Genomic DNA, 12,400 nt, shown 5'->3' on the forward strand with positions numbered 1-12,400 from the left:
CTAAATGGCAACTGGTGAGTCTTCCAAAGAATATTCTATCATTCTCTCAAGCCAGCTGTTTCAGTATGTTGGGTAACAAAATGAGATCAATAAATACCAGGATCCTAGGCCTATTGCCACACTTTGCTGTGAATTGATATCCTTGGTCAGAAGCAATGTTTTCTCAAACATGATGCATGCTAAAGAATTATGTAATTGGGGAAAATCAGACACAAGCTCTTATCATGTGAGTGGCTGGCCTGCAATGAAAGATGCATGCTCACTCTCCTCAGGTGTCTACTGTTAAAGTGAGGGCATTAATTGGAAAAGAATGGAACCCTAAAACTTGGAATGGGGACATGTGGGAGTGAGAGACAGCTGGATTTCCTAGGCCGACTAAGAATCCCTAAGCCTAGCTGGGAAGGTGACCGCATCCACCTTTAAACACAGGGCTTGCAACTTAGCTCACACCCAACCAATCAGAGAGCTCACTAAAATGCTAATTAGGCAAAAACAGGAGGTAAAGAAATAGCAAGTCATCTATTGCCTGAGAGCACAGTGGGAGGGACAAGGACCAGGATATAAACCCAGGCATTTGAGCCAGCAACGGCAACCTCCTTTGAGTCCCCTCCCTTTGTATAGGAGCTCTGTTTTCACTGTGTTTCACTCTATTAAATCTTGCAATTGCACTCTTCTGGTCCATATTTGTCACGGCTTGAGCTGAGCTTTCACTTGCCGTCCACCACTACTGTTTGCTGCTGTCACAGACCCGCCGCTGACTCCCATCCCGCTGCTGACTCCCATCCCTCCGGATCCGGCAGGGTGTCCGCTGTGCTCCTGATCCAGCAAGACTCCCATTGCCACTCCCGATAGTGCTAAAGGCTTGCCATTGTTCCTGCATGGCTAAGTGCCTGGGTTCGTCCTAATCCAGCTGAACACTAGTCACTGGGTTCCACGGTTCTCTTCCATGACCCGCGGCTTCTAATAGAGCTATAACACTCACCACATGGCCCAATATTCCATTCCTTGGAATCCGTGAGGCCAAGAACCCCAGGTCAGAGAACACGAGGCTTGCCACCATCTTGGAAGCAGCCTGCCACCATCTTGGAAGTGGCTCACCACCGTCTTGGGAGTTCTGTGAACAAGGACCCCTGGTAACATTTTGGCGACCACGAAGGGACATCCAAAGCTGTGAGTAATATTGGACCACTTTCGCTTGCTATTCTGTTCTATCCTTAGAACTGGAGGAAAATACTGGGCACCTGTCGCCAGTTAAAAATGATTAGCATGGCCGCCGGACTTAAGACTCAGGTGTGAGGCTATCTGGGAAAGGGCTTTCTAACAACCCCCAAGCCTTCTGTTGGGAACTTTGGTCTGCCTGGAGCCAGCTTCCACTTTCAATTTTCTTGGGGAAGCCAAGGGCTGACTGGAGGCAGAAAGCTGTTGTCCCGAACTCCCGGCAGTAGCCGGTTGAGATCATGGCGCAGCCAGAAGTCTCTACTCGGCAGTCGCCCATGCGTGCGCCCTTACCTTTCCTTCTGAATTATACCTCCGGGGTCCCGACTCCGACTTTCTTGAGAGTTTAGCCCCAAAATTCTCCTTACCTCTGAATCTACTTCCTTTGATCCCTGCCTCCTGCCTCCTAGGTACTAATAGTTCAGACTTTCATTTCCTCTAGCAAGTTGTGTCTCCAAAGGGATCTAAGGAGGCTCTATGCTGTGTCCTTAGGCACCTAGGCTATAACCCAGGGAGTCTTATCCCTGGTATCCCTCCCGATTTAGGTATACAGCTCTTGACATGGGCAGTTATGTGGGACCTGTTCCCCACCACCCTTGTGAGGGCCCCAAGTTTGTAATGGCTAAGAAAGAGAGACGGAGAGAGAGAGAGACGGAGAAAGAGACAAAGAGGGAGTCAAAGAGAAAAAGAAAGAAAAAGATAGAAATAGTTAAAAAAAAAAAAAAGTGTGCCCTATTCCTTTAAAAGCCAGGGTAAATTTAAAACCTGTAATTGATAATTGCCACTTTGTTGTCAGTGTAAATAAGGGCGTAGCAAATCCTTAACCCAGTAACCCGCGGATAGGCCAAATGCATTCAGTCGGTAGCGGCAACAGCTTTGCTAAAAGTAGAAAAGTAACTTTTAGAGGAAACCTCATTGTGAGCACACCTCACCAGTTCAGAGTTATTCTAAGTAAAAAAAAAAAAAAAAAAAAAAGCAAAAAGGTAGCTTACTAACTCAATAATCTTAAAGTATGGGGCTACTATGCTAGAAAAGGGTAATGTAACTCCAACCACTGATAACTCCCTTAACCCAGCAGATTTCCTAACAGGGGATTTAAATCTTAATTACCACACGAAGGTCCGACCAGACCTAGGAGGAACTCCCTTCAGCACAGGACGATAGATGGTTCCTCCCAGGTGACTGAGGAAAAAACTACAATGGGTATTCAGTAATTGGTATGGAGACTCTTGTGGAAGCAGAGTTAAAAATTTGCCTAATAATTGGTCTCCTCAAATGTGCGAGCTGTTTGCACTCAGCCAAGCCTTAAAGTACTTACAGAATCAAAAGACTATCTCAATCCTGACTCAAAAGGTTAGCTACACAGTCTCTGAAATGAATTTGCAGAAGAACTGTTGTTTATGGGAATGCATCTTGATGGGGCAGCTGGGTTGTTATGAAATACTCAGGAACCCAGCCCAGCTCTAGGACTCACCGCTGAGCGCAAAGGCAATGTTGGGCACGCTGGTAAAGGACCACTAGAATCCAGCAGCCCAGGCCCCTTTCTTTGTGGTCAAGAAAGGCAGGAAAAGGAGTGCAGAACTGCTACATTGGTGAGCGTAACTAATCCAATAAGCAGAGGTCCATGAGTGGTTATGCACGCTGGAAAAGAATAAGCATTAGGCCCTTAGAGGATGCTCTAGGACTAATGCTCATCGGAAAATGACTAGGGGTGCTGGCATCCTTATGTTCTTTCTTCAGATGGGAAACGTTCCCCCCAAGGCAAAAGCGCCCCTAAGATGTATTCTGGAGAATTAGAACCAATTTGACCCTCAGATGTCAAGAAAGAAACGACTTATATTCTTCTGCAGTACTGCCTGGCCACGATATCCTCTTCAAGGGGGAGAAACCTGGCCTCCTGAGGGAAGTACAAATTATAACACCATCTTACAGCTAGACCTCTTTTGTAGAAAAGAAGGCAAATGGAGTGAAGTGCCATATGTGCAAACTTTCTTTTCATTAAGAGACAACTCACAATTATGTAAAAAGTGTGGTTTATGTCTTACAGGAAGCCCTCAGAGTCTACCTCCCTATCCCAGCATTCCCCCGACTCCTTCCCCAACTAATAAGCACCACCCTTGAACCCAAACAGTCCAAAAGGAGATAGACAAACAGGTAAACAATGAACCAAAGAGTGTCAGTATTCCCCGATTATGCCCCTTCCAAGCAGTGGGAGGAGGAGAATTCGGCCCAGCCAGAGTGCATGTACCTTTTTCTCTCTCAGACTTAACGCAAATTAAAATAGACTTAGGTAAATTCTCAGATAACCCTGATGGCTACATTGATGTTTTACAAGGGTTAGGGCAATCCTTTGATCTGACATGGAGAGATATAATGTTACTGCTAAATCAGACACTAACCCCAAATGAGAGAAGTGCCGCCGTAACTGCAGCCCGAGAGTTTGGTGATCTCTGGTATCTCAGTCAGGTCAATGATAGGATGACAACAGAGAAAAGAGAACGATTCCCCACAGGCCAGCAGGCAGTTTCCAGTGTAGACCCTCATTAGGACACAGAATCAGAACATGGAGATTGGTGCCACAGATATTTGCTAACTTGAGTGCTAGAAGGACTAAGGAAAACTAGGAAGAAGCCTATGAATTATTCAGTGATGTCCACTATAACACAAGGAAAGGAAGAAAATCCTACTGCCTTTCTGGAGAGAGTAAGGGAGGCATTAAGGAAGCATACCTCCCTGTCACCTGACTCTATTGAAGGCCAACTAATCTTAAAGGATAAGTTTGTCACTCAGTTAGCTGCAGACATTAGAAAAAAACTTCAAAAGTCCGACTTAGGCCTGGAGTACGGCTGAGTGCCCAATTTGGCAGCAGGCAAGACCAACACTGAGCCCTTCATATGGCACCATGCTTTGTGGTGATCAGCCAACTACTTGATGGCAGGTTGATTATATTGGACATCTTTCATCAGAGAAATGGCAGTGGTTTGTCCTTCCTGGAATAGACACTTATTCTCGATATGGGTTTGTCTATCCTGCAGGCAATGCTTCTGCCAGGAGTACCATCTGTGGACTCATGGAAAGCCTTATCCACCATCATGGCATTCCACACAGCATTGCCTCTAAACAAGGCACTTATTTTATAGCTAAGGAAGTGTGGCAGTGGGCTCATGCTCATGGAATTCACTGATTGTATCTTGTTGCCCATTATCTTAAAGCAGCTGGATTGATAGAACAGTGGAAAGGCCATTTGAAATCACAATTACACCACCAACTAGGTGACAATACTTTGCAGGGCTCGGCAAAGTTCTCTTGAAGGCTGAGTATGTCCTGAATCAGCATCCAATATATGGTACTGTTTCCCTCATAGCCAGCATTCACAGGCCTAAGAATCAAGGGGTAGAAGTAGAAGTGGCACCACTCACCATCACTCCTAGTGACCCACTAGCAAAAATTTTACTTCCAGTTCCCCCAACATTATGTTCTGCTGGCCTTAGTTCCAGAGGGAAGAATTCTGCCACCAGTCGACACAAGAATGATACCATTAAACTGAAAGTTAAAATTGCCACCTGGCCACTTTGGGCTCCTCCCACCTCTAAGTCAACAGGTCAAGAAAGGAGTTACAGTGTTGACTTGGGTGATTGACCTGGACTATCAAGATGAAATCAGGTTACTACTCCACAGTGGAGGTAAGGAAGAATATGTGTGGAATACAGGAGATCCCTTAGGCCGTCTTTTAGTACTACCATGCCCTGTGATTAAGGTCAGTGGAAAACTACAACAATCCAATCTAGGCAGGACTACAAATGGCCCAGACTCTTCAGGAATGAAGGGTTGGGTGACTTCACCAGGTAAAAAAATAACAGCCTGCTGAGGTGCTAGCTGAAGGCAAAGGGAATACAGAATGGTTAGTAGAAAAAGGTAGTCATCAATACCAGCTATGACCACAAGACCAGTTGCAGAAATGAGACCTGTAATTGTCATGTGGATTTCCTCCTTACATGTTTGTGCATGTATACACTTCTACTAAGAAAATACCTTTATTTATTTCCTTTGCTTTTCCCTTATCAAGTGACATTATTAACTTCATATCAGCAGTTAAGTGTTATTAACTTTATGTAATAGCATTTCGGTTAATAATTCACTTCTGGTTGTATGAAGGATAGCCGTATTAAGTTAGGTGTAATTATGACATCATTATTGTCTTTATTTGAAGATTATGTGTAATTTCAGGAGATGTGTATGGGTTCAAGTTGACAAGGGATGGACTTGTGATGGCTAATGTTGAGTGTCAACTTGACTGAGGATGCAAAGTATTGTTCCTGGGTGTGTCTGTGAGGGTGTTGCCAAAGGAGATTAACATTTGTGTCAGTGAACTGGGAGATGCAGACCCACCCGCAATCTGGGTGAGCACCATGTAATCAGCTGCCAGAGCAGCTAGAATAAAGCAAGCAGAAGAAGGTGGAAGGAGCTGACTTGCTGAGTCTTCTAGTATTCTTCGTTCTTCTATGCTGGTTGCTTCCTGCCCCCAAACATCAGTCTGCAAGTTCTTCTGCTTTTGGACTCTTGGACTTACACCAGTGGTTTGCCAGGGACTCTCGGGCCTTCTTTTCTAGCTGTAAATCAACAGACAGTAGATTTGACAGAAGCATTCCATGAAAGGAAAGCAAATCTATATTCAGGTGAATATCTAGTTCAGTAAAAACAAAGCACTGCCCTTTCATGATGGAAGTCATGCAGTGCAATAGACCTGCTACCAAGTAGCTGGCTGATTGCACCAGGGAATACTCTCATATCAGGGAATCAGCGGTGGTCTCTGATTCTTGTAGAATGAACACTTAGCAATGGCTATAGTCAGGTCAGCCGTGATGAGTGGAACTCTATTTTGCTGAGCCCATTCATAACCTCCATTTTTACTAACATGGCCACTTTGTTCATGAGTCCTCTTGGTAATGATAGGAGTTGCTGGGGAAAGAGGCTGACTTGTACACAAAGTATGGGTCTTTCTGTCCACTTGGTTATTAAAGTCCCTCTCTGCTGAGATCACTGTTTGGTGGACATTCACATGGCACAAAAACATTTACATCATACCATTTTGGAAGTAGGATCTTTTCAGATGTAATCAAGTTAAGATGAGCCTGCACTAGATTAAGGTCAACCCTAGTCTAATCACTGGAGTCTCAATAAGAAAAAAAAAAAGAGACACAGAGGCAAACAGAGGGAAGAAAAACACGCGACAATGGAAACAAAGACTGGAGTTATGCAGCTGCAAGCCAAGGAATGCTATGGATTGGCAGCAACTGTCAGATGCTGGAAAAAGGCAAGGAAGTATCTTCCCCTAGAACCGTCAGAGAGAACATGAGCCTGCCAACACCTTTATTAGACTTCTAATCTCCAGAATTGTAAATAAATATATTTCTGTTGTTTTAAGTCATCCATTTTGTGGTATTTTTTTATAGCAGCCTTAGAAAACTAATACAGCTAAAATCTTACATTAAAAACTTTCCTCATTAAGTCTTTATTTATCCTAAAATACATACCATATTTTGTTCAATGCATTTGTGATGGATTTGTCTTCAAGCTTCTTCTAGTCTCCACTTGTCTATTTCAGTAGAGCTACCACATATATATTTATGTTATTAAATATATTAGAATTTTTAAAACCAGATTTTCAAAACTGAGATTACTTGGTCAGAGAAAATACATCTATAATTTCACTATATATTAATAAATACTCCTAAATAAAAATGTCATCATTCATTTTTTATATGTACAAGTGATATATGAGAGTGCCGATTTTCCCACAACTATCTATAGGACTTGTCAAGCTTCTGAATTTTTGATAAATGGGAAATTGCATCCTTGTTAATTGTGGATATGCATTTTCTTATCATGAGTGTTACTGAACATTTTCTCCATAGACAACAATAATTTGCATTGATTTACTTGAGAACTAATGGTTTATAAATTCCAAAGATTTTTTAATAATGACAGTATTTCTTTCCTAAATTTTTAGTAGTTCTTTATATATTCAGATATTAGTGGTGTGCATATGATACAATTAGACTATTTTTTGTTTCCTATTGTGTTGTTTTGTTTGTGTTTTGATTTTTTTTTAATTTTAGGTTCAAGTGGTACATGTGCAGGTTTGTTACATGGGTAGATTGTGTGATGCTGAGGTTTGGACTTCTAATGATTCTGTAGCTCAATGAGTGAGTGAACATAGTGCCTGATAGGTAGTTTTTCAACCCTGTTCCCGCGCCCTCCTTCCCCTCTTCTTAAATCCCCAGTGTCTAATGTTCCCATCTCTGTGTCCATGTGCACCAATGATTAGCTCCCACGTATAACTGGGACCATGCATTATTTGGTTTTATGTTTCTGCATTAATTCACTTCAGATAAGGACTTCCAGCTGCATCTGTGTAATTGCAAAACATGACTTCATACTCTTATGGCTGTGTAATATTCCATGGTATATATGTACCACATTTTCTTTATTCAATCCACCATCAATGGATACCTAGGTTGATTCCATGTCTGCTATTTTGAATAGTGCTATGATAATCATGCCAGTGCAGGTGTTTGGTTTTGTTGGGGGTGCATTTGATAGAACAATTTACTTTCCTTTGGGCATATAGAAAGTAATGGGATTGGTGGGCAAAATGGTAATTCTATTTTTAGTTCTTTGAGAAATTTTCAAACTGCTTTCCACAGGGACTGAGGTAATTTACAATCCCACCAACAGTATATAAGCATTCACCTTTTTCCATGCCTGGTCAAAACCTATTTTCATTTTTTTTACTTTTTAATAATAGCCATTCTGACTGGTGTGATAGAATCTCTCATTGTGGTTTTGATTTGTATTTCTCTGATTATTATTGAAGTTGAGCATTTTTCCATGTTTGTTGGTCCCTTGTGTAGTTTCTTTAGAAAAGTGTCTCTTCATGTTTTTTGGCCACTTTTTAATGAGGTTGCTTGTTTTTACTTGTTAATTTATGTTCCTTATAGATTTTAGATATTAGATCTTTTTTTAGATACATAGTGTGAAAGTATTTTCTCCCATTCTGTAGGTCATCTGTTTACCCCATTGATAGTTTCTCTTGCTGTGCAGAAGCTCTTTAGTTTCACTAAGTCCCAACTGTCAATTTTTGGTTTTGTTGCATTTGCATTTGAAGACTTCGTTATAAATACTTTGCCTAGACCAATGTTCAGAAGAGTATGTCTTAGGTTTCCTTCTAGGATTCTGACAGTTTGAGGTTTTACATTTAAGTCTTTAATCTATGTTGAGTTAATAGTTGTATATGATGAGAGGAAGGAGTCAAGTGTCATTCTTCTGAATATGGGTAGCAAGTTTTTCTGGCACCATTTATTGAATGGGCTATCTTTTCTCCATTGTTTATTTTTGTTGAGTTTGTCAAAGATAAGTTGATTGTATGTGTGTGGCTTTATTATGGCTTCTCTATTATGTTCCATTGGTCTATGTGTCTGTTTTTGAACAAGTACTATTCTGTTTTGGTTACTGTAGCTTTGTAGTTTAAATTCAGGTAATGTGAGGTCTCTGGCTTTGGTTCTTTTTGCTTAAGATTTCTTTGGCTGTAGGGCCCTTTTTTGATTCCATTTGAATTTTAGATTAGATTTTTCTAATTCTGTGAAAAATAATGTTGATAATCTGATAGGAATTTTGTTAAATCTAGTAGTTTGTTTTGGGTAGTATAAACATTTTAATGATATTGATTCTTTCAATTCATGAGTGTGGAATGTTTTCCATTTGTTTGTGTCATTTCTGATTTCTGTCATCAGTGTTTTCTAATTCTTCTTGTAGAAATCGTTCATCTCTTTGGTTAGCTATATTTCTATGTATTTTTTATGGCTATTTGAAATAGGATTGCATTCTTGACTTGACTCTCAGCTTGAACATTATTGGTGTATGGAAATGCTACTGATTTTTTTACATTGACTTTGTATCTTGAAACTTGACTGAAGACATGTATAAATTCTCAGAACCTTTTGGCAGAGCTTTTGTGGTTTTCTAAGTATGGAGTCATAGCATCAATGAAGAAATGTATTTTGACTAATTATTTTTCTATTAGAAGAAGTTGTATTTCTTTCTTTTGCCTGATCACTCTGGCTAGGTCTTCCAGTACTGTGATGAATATGAGTGGTGAGAGTGGACATCACTGGCTTGTTCAAGTTGTTAATAGAAATGCTTCCAACTTGTGCCCATTTAGTATGCTATTGGCTGTGGGTTTGTCATAGGTTGTACTTATTATTTTGAGATATGTTCTTTCAATTCTTAGTTTGTTGGGGGTTTTTATCATGAAGGAGCGGAGGAGCAGTGGATTTCATCAATTGCTTTATTGTTTGTCAAGATGATCATATGGTTTTTTGTTTTTAATTTTGTTTATATGGTGAATCAGATTTATTGATTTGCATATGTTGATCCAATCTCGCATCCCAGAAATAAAGCTCTCTTGATTTTGGTGGGTTATATTTTTGATGTTCCCTTGGGTTCGGTTTGCTAATATTTTGCTGAGGATTTTTGCATCTGTGTTCATCAAGGATATTATCTGTGGTATTCCTTGTTCTGTCTTTGCCAGATTTTGATATCAGGATGATACTGGTTTTGTAGAATGAGTCAAGGGGGAATCCCCTCCTCCATGATTTTTTTTTTCTTTTTAGAATAGTTTCACTAACATTGGGACCAGCTCTTCTTTATATACTAGGTAGAATTCCCTGAGAATCCATCTGGTCCAGAACATTTTTTATTTGGTAGGACTGTTTAATGCTGATGTAATTTTGTAAGTCATTATTGGTCTGCTAAGTATTTCTATTTTTTTTTTTCAATCTTGGAAGGTCATGTTATCAGAAATTTGTCAATTTCCTCTAAAGTGTCTAACTTTTGTGCATAAAGATTGATTATTTTAACCCTTGAACGTCTTTTGTCATTTCCATGGGATCAGTTGTAATATCACCTTTGTCATTTCTGATTGTGTTTATTTGGATTTTCTCTTTCTTTTGCATTGTTAATCTAGCTAGCATTCTGTCATTCTTATTAATCCTTTCAAGGGAACAACTTTTTTTTTCCTTTGGTATGTTGTCTTTTCTGGTGTGAATTTTATTTGGTCTGCCCTGGTTTTAATCACTTATTTTCTTCTCTAGGTTTGCATTTAGTTCACTCTTGTTTTTCTAGTTCTTTTAGGTTTGACATCAGATTGTTAACTTGATATCTTCTTATCTTTTCGGGGTAAGTGTTTAGTGCTGCAAACATTCCTCTTTTTTTTTTTTTTTTTTTTGAGACGGAGTCTTGCTCTGTTGCCCAGGCTGGAGTGCAGTGGCATGATCTCGGCTCACTGCAAACTCCACCTCCCGGGTTCATGCCATTCTCCTGCCTCAGCCTCCTGAGTAGCTGGGACTACAGGCACCCACCACCACGCCCGGCTAATTTTTTGTATTTTTAGTAGAGACGGGGGTTTCACCGTGTTCGCCAGGATGGTCTTGATCTCCTGACCTTGTGATCCGCCCGCCTCAGCCTCCCAGAGTGCTGGGATTACAGGCGTGAGCCACCGTGCCTGGCTGCAAACATTCCTCTTAACACTGCTTTTGCTGCATTCCAGAGATTTATTATGTTGTGTTATTTTCATGTTTTTAAATAAATTTTTGATTTGTTCCTTAATTTCATTGTTTTCCTGAAAATTGTTAAGGAGCAAGTCATTTAGTTTACACACACTTGTGTAGTTTTGAGAGTTTCCCTTGGGATTCATTTCTATTTTTATTCCACTATGGTTTGAGAAGGGGCTTGGTATATTTTCATTTAAAAAAAAATGTGTTCAGACTTGCTTTATGCATGTGGTAAATTTTAGAGTATGTTCATTCTGTAGATGAGAAGAACGTATATTCTTCGGATGTTGGATGGAGTATTCTGTAGCTGTCTAGTATGTCCAGTTGGTAAAGTGTTGAATTTAAGTCCAGAATTTCTTTGTTAGTTTTATCCCATAATGATCTGTCTAATGCTGTCAATGGAGTGTTGAAGTACATTATTATTGTGTGTCAAAATCTTTTCTTAGATCTAGAAGTAATTATTTTATAAATCTAGTTGTTCCAATGTTGAGGGAATATATACTTAGGATAGTTGAGTCTTCATGTTAAATTGAATGTTTTATCATTATGGAATGACTTTCGTTGTTGTTGTTGTTTTTGTTGTTGTTTACCATTGCTGGCTTAAAGGCTGTTTTATCTGACACAAGAATAGTGACCCCTTCCTTTTTTGTGTTTTTTGTTTCTGTGATAGATTTTTTTTTTTTTTTTTTGAGATGGAGTTTTGCTCTTTTTGCCCAGGCTGGAGTGCAATGGTACTGTTTCAGCTCACTGTAACTTCCACTGCCGGGTTCAAGTGATTCTCCTACCTCAGCCTCCTGAATAGCTGGGGTTACAAGTACCCGCCACCACGCTTGGCTAGTATGTTTTTAGTAAAGATGGGGTTTCATCATGTTGGCCAGGCTGGCCTCAAACTCTTGACCTCCGGTGATCCACCCACCTTGACCTCTCAAAGTGCTGGGATTACAGGCATGAGCCACCACAACCAGCCGATAGATCATTTTTCATCACTTTACTTTGACACTATGGGCATCATTACATGTGAGATGGTTGTCTTGAAGACTGCATAAGATTAAGTCTTGTTTTTTAATCCAATATTCCACTTTTTGATTTTAAGTGGCATCTTTAGACTATTTTCTTTCAAGGTTAAAAATGATGTGAAATTTTGTTCCTGTGTGGTTTTGTTAGCCTGTTGCTTGTAGTCTTGATTGTTTAGTTGCTTTATAGGGTCTGTGGGCTATGTACTTAGCGTGTTTTTGTTGTCGTTGATGTCGTAGCCAGTATCATTGTTTTTCATTTCCATATTCGGAACCCCCTTAAATGTGTCTTATAAGGCCAGTCTGGTGGCACTGAATTCCACTAGCAATTGCTTGTCTAGAAAAGATTTTATTTCTCCTTTGCTTGTGCTTGTTTGTTGGGGTATAAAATTCTTGGATGGATTTTTTTTTTAAGGATGCTGAAAAACACAAGCCCACAGTATCTATTGGCTTGTAAATCTTCTTCAGAGAAATTGCTGTTAGTCTGATGGGATTCCCTTAATAGGTAATATGGCCCTTTTCTCTGGCTACCTTTAATTTTTTTTTGTATTGACCTTGGGT

General features: G+C 40.1%; 1 long non-coding RNA gene across 1 annotated transcript in view; it reads left to right on the forward strand.

Annotated features, from left to right (window-relative positions):
* The first annotated feature begins 1,067 nt into the window (after positions 1-1,067).
* Positions 1,068-12,400, forward strand: part of LINC00383 (long intergenic non-protein coding RNA 383) — a 99,756-nt gene continuing 88,423 nt past the window's right edge. The window contains exon 1 of the long non-coding RNA NR_125752.1: positions 1,068-1,170. This is a non-coding gene — a long non-coding RNA (long intergenic non-protein coding RNA 383). The remainder of the gene's footprint in view (positions 1,171-12,400) is intronic.

The sequence above is a fragment of the Homo sapiens genome, chromosome 13 (genome assembly GCF_000001405.40).
Source record: "Homo sapiens chromosome 13, GRCh38.p14 Primary Assembly".
Taxonomy (NCBI): domain Eukaryota; kingdom Metazoa; phylum Chordata; class Mammalia; order Primates; family Hominidae; genus Homo; species Homo sapiens.